Here is an 18,018-nt window from a genome sequence, read left to right on the forward strand (position 1 = left end):
CCGGGAGGGGGAGGTTGCAGTGAGCCAAGATCACACCACTGCACTCCAGGAGAAAGAGCAAGACTCTTTCTCAAAAACAAAAACAAAACAGCAAGAAGGAAATACGGGGATCTAGGCCTTTGTTTCCAGAATAGAGGGACCTGGGCTGGCACAGAATCTCAGAGCATTAGGAAACAGGCTGAAGACCCCCTAATCCACTGGACCATTGGCAGAGCAAAAGCCAAATGCTTTTGGCTGCAGGTCACCTCTAAGCCTGTGCTCCCCAGCCGTACCACTCAGCGTCTCCTCTGAGCTGGCAAGGTGAGTCACAGCACCTGGACAGACCTGATCAACTGGAGGGTAACAGGTATGAGACTGGACAACTCTCTAACAGCAGCCAAGGCTGCTCTGTCTCAGTCCCTCTCCCCATACCCATCTCCAACAGGATCAGGCTCTATTCGTGCCCTGCTCCTCTGGCTTGGCAGGAAGGAGTCCCCCAGGTGAGTTAGAGATGGAAGAAATGCCAAATCACAGCCAGAGGAGGTTGTCTCCCAGCCCTGTGTACCTCCATGCCCTGCCCCCCACCAGGCTCCCTGTGTTCCTGAAAGGTGCTCTGTGAGTTCACACTCTGGCCACGGCCTCACCGCTCCCCCTGCCTCCCCCACTCCCCATATGGATTAATGTTACCCACCTTTAATCTTCAAGCCAGCTTCAAATGCCACCTTCTCCAGCCTGGAGTCCATTTGGAACCAACCTCCCCCCGAGCTGAGCATTTGGAATGTTCCAAAATTCTCTCTTGCCTCCTTCAGAGGAGTCTGCCTCCCTCGGTGTGCAGCCTACCTTGTTCATCTATTTTATCCACTGTTTATTTATCAAAGTGCCTTTGTTGTCAAGAGCCCAATGAATATGGCTAAATGTCCATTTGGAGAGATTAGGGGCAGAACGTCTTGGTCACTCATCTGTTTGGTTAACCTCACAACTTTTACAGTTAGTTCCTCTGAAAAAATAGCTTCAATCCTTCCAACTATAATGTGAACTCATTTTCTTTTAACCCTTTGTTCCCTACTCTTAAACCAAAGTGAATTAATTTAAAAAAAAAAAAAAAACACTAACTTCTAGGTGGTTTACTGATCTTTGCCTTTAGGGTAAAACCTAAAGGTCTGTTGGTTTTTTTGTGTTTTTTTTTTTTCATCTCTCCTAGTCTGAGAGTACCCACACTGGGCATTCAAAAGCCCAAATCCCAGAATCCCAGACTGGGAGCAGTGGCTCACGCCTGTAATCCCAGCACTTTGGGAGGCCAAGGTGGGTGGACCACTTGAGGTCAGGAGTTCAAGACCAGCCTGGCCAACATGGTGAAACCCCATCTCTACTAAAAATACAAAAATGAGCCAGACATGGTGGCAGGCACCTGTAATCCCAGCTACTCAGGAGGCTGAGGCAGGAGAAACACTTGAACCCAGGAGGCAGAGGTTGCAGTGAGCCAAGATTGTGCCACTGCACTCCAGCCTGGGCAGTGAGACTCCGTCTCTGAAAAAAAAAGAAGAAAAAAAAAAGCCCCAAATCCCACACACCTGCTCTAAAAGTTATTCCCAAATTACCTTTAAACTTTTAAACTTTAAGATATGTCTCACCTTCTCCAAGATGATAAAAGATTTGGGGGAAGAATAAAAACCCAATCAATCAAGCAGGTGAAGAAGCGGACATAAACAGGCGGAAGGTTAATGGCAGCAACATAAAATAAGCCAGAGGCAAAGTATCCCCCAAACCAGAGAAGCCTCAGGGGCATGCACAGCTGGAGAGAGCAAGCCAGAGAGGGGTCTCGGCACTGCCTCACCTTCCACTTGTCCAATGGGGGGAGCGCTACCCCATTGGAACGGTTAAGGTCGGACACCAGCACCTTCAGAATGTCCTGAATCTACAGGAGGCGAAAAGGGAAAAACAAGGGCAGGGGGAGAAAGGTAGAAGTGGCTTAGAGAGAGGCAAGAAAGTCAGGGAAGGAGGAAGATGTGGGTTCAGGGAAATGAAATAAGAAGAGTGGAGGAGATCAATACCATGGCCTGTGCCATCCTTCCAAATGGCCACCTGCTGCCTTGCCAGGGGCAGAAACAAATAGATGGAAAAGTCCCCTGAACGATGCAGTCACACAGAGTGGAGTCACCTGACCAATGCAGCTCTTAATATCCTGTTTGGACCCTTCTCCTTAGGCCCAGGATGTGGGCAATGAATCTAGTAGAACTACAAACCTCCACCTCCATTTTAAAAACCAGACTTCTGAGTAAGGGTTCACTTGAACAAAGGGGGCTCCAGCTAAAAAACAAGTTTGAAAGACACTGATCATATCCAATGTCACCTCACAGAGGAGGAAACTGAGGCCCAGGGGAAGAAGTGGTTTTTCTGTGGTCACGCAGCAAGCTGGTGGCAAAGATGAACTCAAAAGTTAGATCTTCCCCTAATCCTAGCACCTGGGACTCTCCTCACCACACCCTGGGGCCCTTTCAGTGACTCCTAAAGGGATAGCCTGATGGCAAGTAGCTGTTCTCATTGGCCTGGCTTCCCTTTGAGACTGGAGATGAGGAAAATGAAACAGCAACTACCATTTCCTGGGTGTCCTGGGTGTTTAGGACAGCAGGCCCTGTACTAGGGATTAACATAAAAACAACAATAACAAATCTCATTTAAACTTCACAAGTGTAAGTAAAACAATACTTTATAGTTGTGAAAAGAGAGGCCCAAAAAGCTCAAGCAATTTGCCCTAAATCACATCCCTAGCAGATGGACAGGTAGGATACAAACCCAGAACTCTTAATCAGTACCCAACAGTTCTTCCACAATCATAACAATTACCCTCTACTGCCCCTTGGGCCCCCTGTCCCCAGGAGCCTGGCCATCCAAGACTCACATCCTCAGGTGAGTGGCAACCACCAGAAGTGGTTGTCTCAGGGTTACTGCCATTTTTTATTTTCTTCTTCTTTTTCGCTCCTGTAGGAACACCAGGGCTATTCCTCTGCTGATATTCTCTCAACTGTGGAAAAGAAGAGCAATAATATTCATGAGATCTACAAGCCCCCACAGTTACATCCTACTTTACAATTTTTCCAAAATACTCTTATATACCATCTGATTTAATGCCACTAACAACTCCACAAGTTCTTGTCACAATCACTTAGTGACTGAGAGGGATTGATACCATGGCTTAAAAAAGGCAAGAATTGAACTTAAACTCAGTCTTCTGACTCCAAGCTCTGGGGTTTTGCCACAAATCAGCAGCTGCCAGGGGCCAAAACCAGAGGCAGAGGTACTTTTCCACCTCTCATCCCAGAAACGGGATGAGAACACTTAGGGATTGGGTCCTAAGATCAAAAGCTGGTTTCACGCACTAATTACGGTTCCGAGGGGGACTGCGACATCACTACATTCCACTCCACCAAGGAGAATTCAAATATGAGGTGGAGAAGTCAAGCCTGGAGTCCCAGCTACCTGGGAGGCTAAGGCAGGAGGATTACTTAAGGCCAGGAGTTCAAGGTCAGACTGGGCAACACAGTGACACCCCCTCTCTAAAAATAAATATGTATCTTAAAATGTGGGCCGGAACATTAAGTCGGCAGGAACTGTACACTGTGTGGTTTAGAGTCATACATCCTCACACGTTTGGTAATGTTAAGAAATGCACCAATGCCTCTCAAACTTTTACATCAATGTATCCACATGGCAGAAGGCAGCCTTTCTGTTGAACCTGGGAATTTAACAGAAAGAGGACAACCCAAGCCTCATTTCAGAGAAAAGTCTGGTATACTCTTAGAAATTTATGTGACTGTCATCCCTAAGTACATTAATGTTTTTTCTCTCTCAAGAGAATAAAGGGAGACTGATGCTTCAGAAAGATGCCCCGTATTTATCCTGTGGCACTCCAAGTACCCCAGGTTGAGATGATATGAGGAAGATTCAAGCTGTCAAGTTCAGTTTCCCAAGACCTGTTCCACAGAAGATAAGCAGATCTCATTCCAGAGACCACTGAAGGGCACTCTGGTCCCAGAACCATGGAGAATTCGAATATGAGGTGGAGAAGTCAGAAAAAAATGTTAAAGTCTCTCTGGAGAGTAGAAGCCTGGGGGAAAACCAAACCAATCCCGTTCTCACATTGCCACCCAGAGATACTGCCAATGTTTTCAGTTCACGGGTGAAGTGTAGGCTTTTCACACTGTCAATGTCTATGTTAAGGGTGTAAGGCAGCCTGAAACCTCTCCCTCCTAGGTCCCATAGTCCCCAATCCCCTTCCAGCTGGAAATTTATGCTGTGACCAGAGGAACCAGAAGCGGGATGAGAACACTTAGGGGACTGGGTCCTAAGATCAAAGACTGGTCTCGCGCAACTAATTACGGTTCCGAGGGGGATTGTGACGTCACTACATTCCACTCCTAGGGGGAACATCAGCGCGACGTCCAAGTCGCCGCTCCGCGATGGGGGAGGGGACCGCAGGGCCAGGACCCAGGTCCTTGGAGACCCGAGACCAAAGAACCCCGGGAGGTCCGGTTTGGGGCGGCAGGAGGTGAGGGTCGAGTCTGGAGCGGGGGGCCCCGGGAGTCACGGGCCCAAAGTCACTGGCGAGGGCAGGGGCTGAATTGCTGGGGTCCTAGGTCCTTGGAGACGCCAGCCCAAAGAGCCCAGGGAGGTCGGACTTCGGGGGGCAGGAGGTGAGGGCCGAGTCTGGAGCGGGGAGCCCCGGGAGCACCAGCCCAAAGTCACCCGGGGGCGACTGGCGAGGGCGGGGGCTGGGCGGCTGAGGGGGCGGGGCTGGCTGACAAGACTTTGGTGGAGGGAGCCCGGACGCGCCGTGGGGAGCCCAGCCCGGTGTGCCTCAGGAGTGGCAGAGACTCTGGCCATGGTCCTGCCATCGGAGTGGGGCTGGGGCTGGGTCGGGGGGCCGCGACCCGGTGCACTTTACCTTTTTCTTCGCTGCGGCCAATTTGCTCTGTCGGGTTTCTTCCGACATCGCGGGGCGGGGAGGGAGGCGGGGTTGGGGCCACATCAGCGCGATCCCGGCAACCACTGCGGAAGTCAGTCAGCCACCGCGCAGCTGTGCGACGGAGCCAGAGGAGGCGTAACCAGGGCGATACTGGAGCGCAGAATGGGGGCGTGGCCTCAAAGATCAAAGCCCATTGGTCAATGAGAAATATGAAGCGGAAGGGGGCGTGGCTATGCAGCGGCGTGGCCAGAGGGACCTGTGGCGTCACAACAAAAGCTGCGCACGCAACCGCTGTCCCCGCCCACCTCGGGAGAGGGGCGGGGCCGGCTTTCCTTGGGTGCGCGCGCAGCTTTCTGTGCGCCAGTTCACACTCCGGGTCAGAGTTCCTGGCCCGGTGCACCTGAGAGGTCGCTCTCCGACTCCCGCGCTGGACCCTCTTGCGCCATTGAACCCCCTGATCCGGGGGCCTCGGACCCCAGGGCTCAGGAGGTGGGCGAGGAACGGACTCCACAGTTTCTTTCCTGACTCCTCACAGCCCTGCCCCAGACTCTCCCTTCCCAGAAATCACCTCCAAAGACTCCCATCCAGTGCTCCAGACAACCCCCGTCTCAGAACGCCCCCTTCCTAGAGGGTCTCTACCCTGATCCTGAGAGCGTGTCTGCCCCCTTTCCAGATGGATCCAGTCCCTGGCGCTCCTACTTCCCAACTGCTCCTCCTCCCGCATCCCCACAGTACCCCGTCCTCACAGCGGGCTGTGGGTCCAATCAGACTTTCCCCTCGGATTCCTCTCTAGGACTGAACCAAGACTTACCCGAAGTTGCCGCGGGGCCTTCCGATCCCCTGTGAGTATTTCTTCCCCCACACCCCCTTTCCCATCCTCGACCTTCCCTTGTGCGCTCCCGGCCCCACTCCCCATCCCAACAGCAGCCAATCCCCGCTTGGCCCTCTTCCATATCTTCTCCCAGTCGACTGAGAACCGCCAGGTCATTCCCGAATCCCTCCCCTTCCTTTCCTCATGCCCGCCAGTCTTCAAAGAAGTGTTATCCTGTCCTGTCCTAGGCTAACTCCTCTCCCTCCCCATCCTGTCTCCTGGCTCCTCAGATGCCTTTCACTCCAGTCCAGCACCAGCCATCTCTCCTCCTCGCTCTTTTCACCCCTCACCCAGCCCTGCCTTTAAACAAACCCATAGCTCCCCAGTCAGGAAAATGCTTGGCGTTCACCCTGGCCACTCCTTTCGTTGCTAATAGTCTCTCCTCTTCGCTGGCAAGCCACCCCCAAAACGCAGCCTACTCCTTCTCTCATCCCCCAGATGGAGTTGCCACTACAACTACCACCACTCTTAAGGTAGATCGTGAGGGCCGGGTGCAGTGGCTCACACCTGTAATCCCAGCACTTTGGGAGGCTGAGGCGGGCAGATCATTTGAGGTCAGGAGTTCAAGACCAGCCTGCCCAACATGATGAAACCCTGTCTCTACTAAAAATACAAAAAAATCAGCCGAGCGTGGTGGTGCAGGCCTGTAATCCCAACTACTCAGGAGGCTGAGGCAGGAGAATTGCTTGAACCCGGAAGGTGGAGGTTGCAGTAAGCCGAGATTGCACCACTGCACTCCAGCCTGGACAACAGAGCTAGACAAGTCTCAAAAACAAAAAAGAAGTTAGATCGGGAAAGACTTGGTATTTGTTCATTGATTTAGCAACTGCTGCAATGCAGGTGTATGCCAGATAGCCCCCTGCCCTCCAGGAGCCACAGGCAAAAAAATAATTCCAGGACAAGTATGCACATGGTTCTGAGATGGGGAGCCCAGGCTTGGGCTTGCAAAGAGGGCTCTCCAGAGATGGCAGGGTCAGAGGCAGGGCCTGAAGGGCAACTCACAGTGAGCTCAGATGACGATGACGGGGTGGCAGCCATAGTTTGCCAAAAGCACTGGGCTGATTGAGCTTCTCTCTGCAAGTGGGTTGGTATCCACTGTCTTTGACCATGCGGTAACTCACTGCAGATCATGCCTTTCTCATTCATGCTAATTCATTCCTTCTCTTTTTTTTTTTTTTTTTTTTTTGAGACACAGTCGCACTCTGTCGCCCGGGCTGGAGTGCAATGGTGCGATCTGGGCTCACTGTAACCTCTGCCTCCCAGGCCCAACCCATCCTCTTGCCTCAGCGTCCCAAATAGCTGGAACCACAGTTGTGTGCCATGACGCCTGGCTAATTTTTTTGTATTTTCAGTAGAGACAAATTTTCGCCATGTTGCCCAGGCTGGTCTCAAACTCGTGAGCTCAAAGCAACCTGCCCGCCTCGGCCTCCCAAAGTGCTGGGATTACAGGCATGAGCCACCATGCCCAGCTTCCATTCCTTCCATTTTTAAAAACAACGCTCGACCCGGCACAGTGACTCACGCCTATAATCCCAGCACTTTGGGAGGCTAAGGTGAGTGGATCACCTGAGGTCAGGAGTTTGACCAGTCTGCCCAACATGGTGAAGCCCCATCTCTACTAAAAATACAAAAATTAGCTGAGCATAGTGGTACATGCCTGTAATCCCAGCTACTTGGGAGACTGAGGCAGGAGAATCGCTTGAACCCAGGGGGTGGAGGTTGCAGTGAGCCGAGATCACCCTGCACTCCAGCCTGGGCAACAGAGCGAAACTCCATCTCAAAAAAAAAAAAAAGGAGGCTCTATTGAGCATTGTCCCATCAGCTTACTTTACATGCATCATCTTTCCAGTTCCTTCCAGCAACCTTTGAGAAGACGCTTTACTGTCCCCATGTTGAGGTGAGGCCTGTGAGTTCCAGAGAGATGAATATAGCCAGGACGTGGCAGAGCTGGGGGCTTTAAACTGAGAAACTGAGTTGTTTTTGGTTTTTTTTGTTTTTTTTTATTTGAGACGGAATCTTGCTCTGTCGCCCAGGCTGGAATGCAATGACACGATCTTGGCTCACTGCAACCTCTGCCTCCCAGGTTCAAGTGATTCTCCAGCCTCAGCCTCCCTAGTAGCTGGGATTACAGGTGCCCGCCACCATGCCCGGCTAATTTTTATATTTTTAGTAGAGACGGTTTTGCCATGTTGGCCAGGCTGGTCTCAAACTCCTGACCTCAGTGATCCACCCGCCTCAGCCTCCCAAAGTGCTGGGATTACAGGCATGAGCCACCGTGCCTGGGCTTGAACTGAACTCTTAAGCGGTACCTTGGGCTTGCTCCTCTCTGGGCCTATTTGCAGGAGCACCCTCCTGACCTCTCCTGCCTCTTTTTCTGTGCCCGCTCGGCTGGCTCCTTTGCTTCCTGCCACTCCTGAGGTAAATGTGGGCATTTCTGTAGGATCCAGCCCTACGGGGCTTGGTGGGCGTTCTCCCCATGTGCGGAGACAAGAGATTGTAAGAAATAAAGACACAAGACAAAGAGATAAAGAGAAAACCGCTGGGCCCAGGGGACCACTACCACCAAGACGTGGAGACCGGTAGTGGCCCAGAATGGCTGGGCACGCTGATATTTACTGCATACAAAACAAGGGGGGCAGGGTAAGGAAGGTGAGTCGTCCAAGTGATTGATAAGATCAAGCAAGTCACATGATCGTGGGCCAGTGGGCCCTTCCCTTCTAGGTAGCCAAAGCAGAGAGGGAAGGCAGCATACGTCAGCATTTTCTTCTATGCACTTATCAGAAAGATCAAAGACTTTAAGACTTTCACTGTTTCTTCTACCACTATCTACTATGAACTTCAAAGAGAAACCAGGAGTATGGAAGGAACATAAAAGTGGACAAGGAGCGTGACCATTGAAGCACAGCCCCACAGGGAGGGGTTTAGGCCTCCGGATGACTGCGGGCCGGCCTGGATAATATCCAGCCTCCCACAGGAAGCTGGTGGAGCAGAGTGTTTCCTGACTCCTCCAAGGAAAGGAGACTCCCTTTCACGGTCTGCTAGGTAACGGGTGCCTTCCCAGACACTGGCATTACCGCTTGACCAAGGAGCCCTCAAGCGGCCCTTATGCAGGTGTGACAGAGGGCTCACCTCTTGCCTTCTAGGTCACTTCTCACAATGTTCCTTCAGCACCTGACCCTATACTTGCCGGTTATTCTTAGGTTATATTAGTAGTGCAACAAGGAGTAATATTAAAAGCTAATGATTAATAGTGTTTATACTAATGATTGATAATTGTCCATGATCATCTCTATATCTAATTTGTGTTGTGACTATTCTTATTCTATTTTCTTTATTATACTGAAACAGTTTGTGCCTTCAGTCTCTTGCCTCAGCACCTGGGTAATCCTTTGCCCACACATTTCCGGGTGGCTCTGCTCTCCTCTTGCCATTCTCTTTCTACACACCTGCTCCAAGTTCTGACTCCCACTCCCTCAGCCCACCCCAGTGCCCACAACCCTCCTATCTCTCTCCAGCCCTGACCTTTCTTGGGACACCCAGAGCTGCCTGCAGAATCTTTGCCTTCCCACTTGCCAAGTCTGAAATCACACTCAGCCTCCTAACCAGGACCACAAAACCAACTCCTCCAACTGCCCTTGCATCATCAGAGGAACCCCAAGCTCTTGAAGTGTGCTCTGCCTCTTCTCCTTTCTAATAGCACTACTCATGGTTGCATCTGTTCTTTTTAAAAAAAAAAAAAAAAAAAACAAGAGTCTCGCTCTGCCACCCAGGCTGGAGTGCTGGAGTACAGTGGTGCAATCTCGGCTCACTGCAACCGCTGCCTCCAGGGTTCAAGCGATTCGCCTACCTCAGCCTCCCGACTAGCTGGGACTACAGGCGCCCGCCACCACGCCCAGCTAATTTTTTGTATTTTTAGTAGAGACGGGGTTTCACCATGTTACCCAGGATGGTCTTGATCTCCTGACCTCGTGATCCTCCCGCCTCCGCCTCCCAAAGTGCTGGGATTACAGGCGTGAGCCACCGTGCCCGGTCGCATTTGTTCTTTTTCACACCACTATCCCCTCACTCACCCATTCACACACGTGGAAACCACTTTCATTCCCCCGAACACATGTGCTGTCTCCTGCCTTAAGGCATTCAGATACACATTCACCCCTGGGTATCCACGGAGATTGCTGCCAGGATCCCCATGGAGTAATGACCAGGAAAAAAAGGCTACGTGTTCAATACAGATTCAACCATGCTTTTTTTTTTTTTTTTTTTTTTTTTTTTTGAGAGAGTCTCGCTCTGTCACCCAGGCTGGCGTGCAATGGTGTGATGTTGGCTCACCACAACCTCCACCTCCCAGGTTCAAGGGATTCTCCTGCCTTAGCCTCCCAAGTAGCTGGGACTACAGGTGCGCACCACCATGCCTGGCTAATTTTTGTATTTTCAGTAGAGACAGGGTTTCACTATGTTGGCCAGGCTGGTCTCGAACTACTGACCTCGTTATCTGCCTGCCTTGGCCTCCCAAAGTGCTGGGATTACAGGTGTGAGTCACTGCACCTGGCCAACCATGCTTTTTTTTCATCAGATATTTTCATTGTGAAACCCACTGATACAGAGGGCCAACTCTTTTGTCCCCTCTGTCTGCAATACTTTCTTCCACCTTTCTGCCAAGCTAAAGCCTGCTCATCCTTTAAAATTTAGCTTCCTCGGAGAAGCCTTATCCCCACTTCTGGGTCAGTCCAGTTGCCCTGTTAGACTCTCCCATAGCACACTGTACTTCAACTTCAAAGCATTTTCCAGACTTATAATTCGTTTATTGGTTACTTCATTCATTGATAAATATTAATATTGAGTGTCTACTATGTGCCATGTACTGTTGTAGACACTATGCAATCAGCAGTAAACAAAAGTCCCTTCCCTCATGGAGCTTACACTTCAGTGATGTAAAGCAATGTAAGGCAATGAAAATAATGAAATGCATAACTTGTCGGGTGACGAAAAATGCTATAAAACATCAGGAGGCCAGGTGCGGTGGCTCATGTTTGCAGTCCTAACACTGGGAGGCCAAGGTGTGAGGATTGCTCCAGCCCAGGGTTTGAGAACAAACTGGGTGACATAGCAAGACCCCATCTCTACAAAAAAATAAAATTTTTCAAAAAAATTCGCTGAGTGTGATGGCACATGCCTGTTGTGCTACTCAGGAGGCTAGAGTGGGAGGATTGCTTAAGCCCAGAAAGTTGAGGCTACAGTGAGGTGTGATTGTGCTACCGCACTCCAGCATGGATGACAGAGCGAGACAGACCCCATCTTAAAAGAAAAATTAAATTTAAAAAAGGCCGGGTGCGGTGGCTCACGCCTGTAATCCCAGCACTTTGGGAGGCTGAGGTGGGCGGATCACGATGTCAGGAGCTTGAGACCAGCCTGACCAACATGGTGAAACCTTGTCTCTACTAAAAATGGAAAAATTAGCCGAGTGTGGTGACATGCGCCTGTAATCCCAGCTACTCAGGAGGCTGAGGCAGGAAAATCGCTTGAATCCGGGAGGCGGAGGTTGCAGTGAGCTGAGATTGTGCCACAGCACTCCAGCCTGGGCGACAACGCGAGAACTGTCTCAAAAAAAAAAGAAAAATTAAATTTCAAAAAATATTAAAAATCAGGAAAAAGGGATAGTGAGTGATTGAGATGTTACTGTTGTAGACAGGGCTGTCAGAGAGGGCCTTTCTGATGGGGCGATAGGTAAGTAGAGCTTTAACTGGAAGCATCTGGAGGAAGAACTTCATCGTTGGGCGCTTTCTCTTTGGGGCTAGGCTATGCCTTCTATGAGAGCAGTGGGCTGGGCTTGATGTCTCATTCATTGCTGCGCTCCTGGACCCTTTGTCAGTTCCTGGCAGAGAGTGCTCACTCATTCCTCTGAGTGACTGGTTACAAGCCACTAACCTAAAACCAGGAAGACCGTCTTCCTCGGTCCCTTCTTGTATCATGTGTAGACAGCTCATCCAACATACATTTCCTGAAGATTGGCTGTGTACTAGGCACTGGCCTTCACAGCTTCTACAGGCAGAAAGGGCAAAGATGAAAGCCCCAAGGAAGGGTTTTATCCAATGAGATTATAAACCCAGTGACAGATGGGCATGGTGGCTCACGCCTGTAATCCCAGCACCTGGGGAGGCTGAGGCGGGCAGATCACTTGAGGTCAGGAGTTTGAGACCAGCCTGGCCAACATGGCAAAAACCCTGTCTCTACTAAAAATACAAAAATTAGGCCGGGAGCAGTGGCTCACGCCTGTAATCCCAGCACTTTGGGAGGCCGAGGTGGGTGGATCACCTGAGGTCAGGAGTTCGAGACCAGCCTGGCCAACATGGTGAAACCCTGTCTCTACTAAAAATACAAAAAAAAAAAATTAGCCAGGCATGGTGGTGGGCGCCTGTAATCCCAGCTACTCAGGAGGCTGAGGCAGGAGAATTGCTTGAACCTGGGAGGCAGAGGTTGCAGTGAGCCGAGATTGTGCCATTGCACTCCAGCCTGGACAACAAGAGTGAAACTCTGTTTTAAAAAAAAGTACAAAAATACAAAAATTAGCTGGGCATGGTGGTGTGCACCTGTAATCCCAGCTATTCAGGAAGCTGAGGCAGGAGAATTACTTGAACCCGGGAGGCGGAGGTTGCAGTGAGCCAGAATCATGCCACTGCGCTCCAGCCTGGGCGACAGAGTGAGACTCCGTCTCCAAAAACAACAACAACAACAACAACCAGTGACATTGTAAATGAGAAGAGAGCCCAAGACAGACCTGGAGCAGATTCTCTGGGGTCAGACTGGGGACAAGGGCAGGCCCATTAGTTAGGATTGGGTTTGACTAGGAGTGAAAGAAAACCCCAAATAACAGTGGTTTAAACAGTTCATTGGCACCCAGGCCTCCATCTGGTTCCACCACATCTTCAGTGTATGACTTGTACCTTATCATCCAAGATAGCTGCTCAGCTCCAGCACTGCATCCACATTCCAGCCAGCGGGAAGGGAGACGGCCAGAGAAAGGCATGCCCTCTTCCTGGGAGGACAATTCCCAGTCATTGGCTGGGAACAGTGGCTCATGCCTGTAATCCAAACATTGTTGGAGACTGAGGCTAGAGGATGGATCACCTAAGCCCAGGAGTTCGAGGTTGCAGTGACCTATAATCACGCCACTGCAATCCAGCCTGGGTGACAGAACAAGACCCTATTAAAAAAAAAAAATGTTGTGGGGTGGGGCTAGGCACAGTGGCTCATGCCTGTAATCCCAGCACTTTGGGAGACCGAGGTGGGCAGATCACGAGGTCAGGAGTTCGAGACCAGCCTGGCCAATATGGTGAAACCCCATCTCTACTAAAAAATTAGCCGGGCATGGTGGCGCATGCCTGTAGTCCCAGCTACTCGGGAGGCTGAGACAGGAGAATCACTTGAACCTGGGAGGCGGAGGTTGCAGTGAGCCAAGATCAGGTTACTGCACTCCAGTCTGGGCAACAGAGCGAGACTCCGTCTCAAAAAAAAAAAAAAAAAAAATCCCAGATGATTAAGTTCTACTTGCTGGAACTTAGTCATAGGGCCACATCTAATTCCAAGGAAGGCTTGGAAATGCAGTCTTATTGAGGGGGTTAGGGTGCCTATTAGCAAGCAGAAGCAGGGAGTGACTACTGGGGGACATGTAGGCTGTGAATTGTGGATAACTGGTCAGTCTGGCTGATGACTTTTTCTGCCTCTCAGAGGCCATTGCCCAAGTCTGGCCAGGCTGATGGGACCAGCGAGGAGTCTCTGCACCTTGACATTCAGAAACTGAAGGAGAAGAGGGACATGCTGGACAAGGAGATCTCCCAGTTCGTATCTGAGTAAGTTTCATTGGGTTCCCCATCATGGTTAAGATAACTTTGGGCTAGGCATAGTGGTTCACGCCTGTAATCCCAGCACTTTGGGAGGCTGAGGTGGGTGGATCACTTGAGGTCAGGAGTTTGAGACCAGCCTGGCCAACATGGCAAAACCCTGTCTCTACTAAAAATACAAAAAATAGCTGGGCACAGTGGTACGCGCATGTAGTCCCAGCTACTTGGGAGGCTGAGGCAGAAGAATCGCTTAAACCTGGGAGATGGAGGTTGCAGTCAGCTGAGATCACGCCACTGCACTCCAGCCTGGGCGATGGAGTGAGAATCTGTCTTTAAAAAAAAAAAAAAAAAAAAAAAAGGTTTAACTCTCTAACTGCCCAGTAACTGAAAAACCCAGTCGCACTGGCCTAGCATAGAAATACGACTGTGCGCTACTCAGGAGGCTGAGGCAGGAGAATCGCTTGAACCTGGCAGGCAGAGGTTGCAGTGAGGCGAGATCGCGCCACTGCACTCCAGCCTGGCTACAGAGCGAGACTTGGTAAAGAAAGAGAAAGAGGGCGAGAGGGAGAGAGAGAGGAGAGGAAAGAAAAAGGAAGGAAGGAAAGAAAGGAAGGGAAAGAAGGAAAGGGGGGAAGGAAAGGGAAGGAAGGAAGGGAAAGGAAGGAAGGAAGGAAAGGAAGGAAGGAAGAAAGAAAGGAAGGACTATGCTTCTGGATTCAGGACATAGCAGCAGCCTCTCAGGTAGGGAGATGCTCAGGCTGTGGGAGGGCCTGAACTAGGACTGGAAAGCTATCTGGGATGGAAGCTGTTGCTCTTCCAGTCTCCGGAGCCATGTTCTCCACCTCTGCTTCCCTCTGCACAGACTCCATTCTCTCCCTGCAGGTGGAGTTTTCAGTGTGTAGGGAAAGCTGGCTCTTGAACGCCTCCTGGAGTTCCCCACACCTCTTGTTCCAGCCACATGGCAGAGACTGAGCTGCCTTTGAATGTGCATTTCACACTTGAGGGAATCCACCTGGCTGTTTGGATCATGCGCCCATCTGCGAGTCCCTCAGCTGTGGCCAGGGTCACATGGTACCACTGTGGCTGGCAACCCCACCCTAAGGAGACAGGGCACATTTGCCAGGAGTGAGGACCTGGGAAGATCCCCTGCCCTGCTGTAAGCTTCATGAGGGCAGGGCCTATCTTGCTGTCACCATATCCCTAGTACCTATCACCGAGTAGGCCATTACAGATGCCTTATTACTATCTGAGCCTGGGGCCATCATCTGCTTTCTTAACTGGGCTGTCTTTCCCCCTCTCTCCATCGCTTATCCCAGAGGCTACAGTGTGGATGAACTGGAGGACCACATTACCCAGCTTCACGAGTACAATGACATCAAGGATGTGGGGCAGATGCTGATGGGCAAACTAGGTGAGTAGTTGGGACTCCAGAGCCACAAGCAGGCATCATAGGGTGTCGTCTCGCCTAGGGGTGTTGGGTTTTGCTCCTGGGCCTCCCAGCTTGCCAACCGTCACACCCTCAGCAGTTGGCCTGCTCCTAGGCTGCCCCAGCCCCTCTCCTGACCAGCCTCTGGTCTCCCTGGCCACCTAGGTTTGTTCCTCAAGTACAGAACCTGCTTTGGAGCCGCAGCCAGGTTTGAGCGGGGCTTGCCCATCTGCCAGACTGAGAACTCAGGGTCTCCCCAGTCTTCTGGGACCTACTCAGAGTGATCAAGATACCGTCCATGCCTCAAGTGGCTAGCTTGCTAAAGAGGCTGCAAGTGCAAGGGTGACCCTTTGTGTCTTAAGGAAGTATTTTGTTTCCTCCCTGAACAAAATCTTGCTATCTAGAGGGCTTTAGCCGAGGCACCAACACCTGTATGTCATGCTGGCTAGGACAGCCTACCTTGGAGGTGAGGAAATGTGCAGGCGGCCCCTACAAACCCTTCAGTTCCATCCCCTGGCTTGGAGTGCTGGGTACTCTGATGTTCAGCAGCCAGTGACTGCTGGGGTAGTGTTCAGAGCTGGGCTGTCTGCCCAGTTGCTGCGTGAGTTTTGGCACTTGTTGCAGAAATGCCTTCAGCATCCAGGATTCCACGGCAGGGAGGGCTTCTCTGTGTTTCACTGGACGATGGGCCCCAGAGGAGGAGAGGAAAAAACTGGAGGTGGGAACTATAGATGGATGAAAAGAGCGGGGTGATCAGGGCCCAAGAAGATGGGGGTGTGAGGGGAGTGTAGCCTAGTGGTTAAGAACACAAGCTCAGCCGGGCGCAGTGGCTCACACCTGTAATCCCAGCACCGTGGGAGGCCGAGGTAAGTGGATCACCTGAGGTTGGGATTTCAAGACCAGCCTGACCAACATGGAGAAACTGTCTCTACTAAAAATATAAAATTAGCCAGGCATGGTGGCACATGTGTAATCCCAGCTATTTGGGTGGCTGAGGCAGGAGACTCGCTTGAACCCGGGAGGCAGAGGTTGTGGTGAGCTGAGATCATGCCATTGCACTCCAGCCTGGGCAACAGGAGCGAAACTCCATCTCAAAAAAAAAAAAAAAAAAAAAGGCCGGGCTCGCTGGCTCGCACTTGTATCCCAGCAGCACTTTGGGAGGCCGAGGCAGGTGGATGACAAGGTCAGGAGTTCAAGACCAGCCTGGCCAACGCAGTGAAACCCTGTCTCTACTGAAAATACAAAAATTAGCTAGGTGTGGTGGCACATGCCTGTAATCCCAGCTACTCAGGAGGCTGAGGCAGGAGAATCACTTGAACCCAGGAAACCAGGAAGCGGAGGTTACGGTGAGCCGAGATCACACCACTGTACTCCAGCCTGGGCGACAGAGCCAGACTCCATCTCAAAAAAAAAAAAAAGAAAGAAAAAGAACACAAGCTCTTAGTAGCGAGAATCAGCATGAGGCCTGTCACTTCCAGGTCATATGACCTGGAGCCAGTGGCCTATCCCTTTTTTTTTTTTTTTTTTTCGTTAGACTGGGTCTCACTGTGTCACCCAGGTTGGAGTGCAGTGGCGTGATCTCGGCTCCCTGCAACCTCCACCTCCCAGGTTCAAGTGATTCTAGTGCCTCAGCCTCCTGAGTAGCTGGGACTGCAGGCATCCACCACCACGCCCGGCTAATTTTTGTATTTTTAGTAGAGACAGGGTTTCACCATGTTGGCCAGGCTGGTCTTGAACTCCTGACCCCAAGTGATCCACCCACCTTGGCCTCCCAAAGTGCTGAGATTATAGGCTGAGCCACCGCACCTGGCATCCTTTTTGTTTATTCAGTGAACATTTACTGAGCAGCTGCTCTGTGCCCAGCACTCTACAGAGTGCTGAGGACACTTGGGTGAACCAGACAATTTAAAGTCTCTTGCTCTCATGTGGTTTGTTTTCCTGTTAGGGGTGGAGGAATGCCCAGGAAGTCAGTGGACTCAGCAGTTAATTACAAAATGTGTTAGGTGCTATGAAGGCGACAAAGGGCAGAGATGGGGAGAATATTGAGGTATGAACAGAGGGGCGGTGGGGGTAAGATAGGTGTTCAGGGGAGGCCTCTGAGGAGAACCCTTCCTCAGGAGAAAGGACCAGTCTTTGTGGAGAACAGAGGAGGAATAGCATCATGGAGGCTGCAGAGGGGCAAACTCGAGCAGTGGGCCATACTGAGGAGTCTGGAATGTTCAGCAGGCACAGCATACAATCAGCTTACATTTGAAGCAGATGAATCCAGCAGCTCTGTGTGGAGAATGGAATCGAGGAAGCTCTGTTTCATTCCTCTGCAAAATGGGGTGAGGGTCCAAGGAGTCCTTGTAGGTCCATTGTTGAATACAGTGGCTGGCACATGGCAGAGCTCCAGCGTGGCCAGGTGGGGCCCGTGGGGGACAGCCTGGAAGGAGTAGCAGGGAGCTTACCTTGGCCAGTTAGGCAAGGCACAAGTGTGGGGACTGGCTTGAAGCCAGAGGTGGTCCTGGGTGGGTCAGGGCAGTGACACTGGCTCGGGGCATTGGCTGTACTCCCTCCCACCTCTCCCCACTGCACATTCAGCCTGCCTTCCTTCCTTTCAGCTGTGATCCGAGGTGTCACCACCAAAGAGTTGTATCCAGAGTTTGGGCTGGACATGAATGACTGAGCAGGCTCATCGCCCCTTGTCCACAGCTCCCAGGGACAGAAGGGTGTGGACATGATAAACACTGAGAGCCCAACCAGCACACCTACAGAGTTTCCAGCGAGACAATGCCAGAAGCACTTTTCTAGAGAGCCCAAGCCCAATCAGGAGGAGGCTAGAGAAGAGGCGGGCAGGGAGGAAGGGGCGTTCCCAGCTCCAAGGTTCCTGAAATGTCGCAGTGATACTTGTGTAGGGGTACATGTACTTTATTTGTCAATAAACGTATCTGTACACTGA

General features: G+C 51.3%; 2 protein-coding genes across 18 annotated transcripts in view, besides 3 other annotated features; one reads left to right on the forward strand and one right to left on the reverse strand.

Moving 5' to 3' along the window:
- The window catches only part of GOLGA2 (golgin A2), a 20,179-nt gene extending 15,143 nt beyond the window's left edge, over nt 1-5,036 (reverse strand). For 7 of the 14 annotated variants that reach the window (NM_001389699.2, NM_001389697.2, NM_001389698.2 and 4 more), the window contains exons 1-3: nt 4,922-5,036; nt 2,879-3,001; nt 1,814-1,894 (exon numbers count right to left, since the gene is read on the reverse strand). In NM_001389699.2, the coding sequence (NP_001376628.2) occupies nt 1,814-1,894; nt 2,879-3,001; nt 4,922-5,005 (288 nt within the window). In that variant the 5' untranslated portion in view covers nt 5,006-5,036. The remainder of the gene's footprint in view (nt 1-1,813; nt 1,895-2,878; nt 3,002-4,921) is intronic. The other 7 variants (NM_001389705.2, NM_001389704.2, NM_001389702.2 and 4 more) reach the window with 1 other exon arrangement.
- Nucleotides 4,385-18,018, forward strand: SWI5 (SWI5 homologous recombination repair protein). 4 transcript variants are annotated; one of them, NM_001379267.1, is made up of 5 exons: nt 4,385-4,525; nt 5,616-5,784; nt 13,539-13,660; nt 14,968-15,062; nt 17,681-18,018. In NM_001379267.1, the coding sequence occupies exons 1-5, from the start codon at nt 4,437-4,439 to the stop codon at nt 17,743-17,745; spliced, it is 540 nt and encodes a 179-aa protein (NP_001366196.1). In that variant the 5' UTR covers nt 4,385-4,436; the 3' UTR covers nt 17,746-18,018. The 4 variants fall into 4 exon arrangements, with proteins under 4 accessions (NP_001366196.1, NP_001305021.1, NP_001035100.2 ...); NM_001318092.2 differs by having other exon boundaries at nt 5,736-5,784; NM_001040011.2 differs by lacking the exon at nt 4,385-4,525 and adding an exon at nt 5,305-5,431.
- Nucleotides 4,500-4,549: an enhancer, noted in NCBI's record as "active region_29076". NCBI's record gives its function as "activates an Ori minimal core promoter by ATAC-STARR-seq in GM12878 lymphoblastoid cells {active_cell/tissue: GM12878}" and the evidence as "EXISTENCE:reporter gene assay evidence [ECO:0000049][PMID:35858748]".
- Nucleotides 4,700-4,809: a silencer, noted in NCBI's record as "silent region_20334". NCBI's record gives its function as "represses an Ori minimal core promoter by ATAC-STARR-seq in GM12878 lymphoblastoid cells {active_cell/tissue: GM12878}" and the evidence as "EXISTENCE:reporter gene assay evidence [ECO:0000049][PMID:35858748]".
- Nucleotides 5,410-5,539: an enhancer, noted in NCBI's record as "active region_29077". NCBI's record gives its function as "activates an Ori minimal core promoter by ATAC-STARR-seq in GM12878 lymphoblastoid cells {active_cell/tissue: GM12878}" and the evidence as "EXISTENCE:reporter gene assay evidence [ECO:0000049][PMID:35858748]".

This window comes from Homo sapiens, chromosome 9 (genome assembly GCF_000001405.40).
Source record: "Homo sapiens chromosome 9, GRCh38.p14 Primary Assembly".
In the NCBI taxonomy this organism is placed as follows: domain Eukaryota; kingdom Metazoa; phylum Chordata; class Mammalia; order Primates; family Hominidae; genus Homo; species Homo sapiens.

Excerpts from the sequence above, each read along its gene's own strand:
- SWI5 (NM_001379267.1), top strand. The coding sequence starts at position 4,437 with ATGGGGGAGGGGACCGCAGGGCCAGGACCCAGGTCCTTGGAGACCCGA. Across the intron at positions 13,661-14,967 it reads ATCTCCCAGTTCGTATCTGA|AGGCTACAGTGTGGATGAAC; the intron begins GTAAGTTTCATT and ends CGCTTATCCCAG. Across the intron at positions 15,063-17,680 it reads GATGCTGATGGGCAAACTAG|CTGTGATCCGAGGTGTCACC; the intron begins GTGAGTAGTTGG and ends CCTTCCTTTCAG.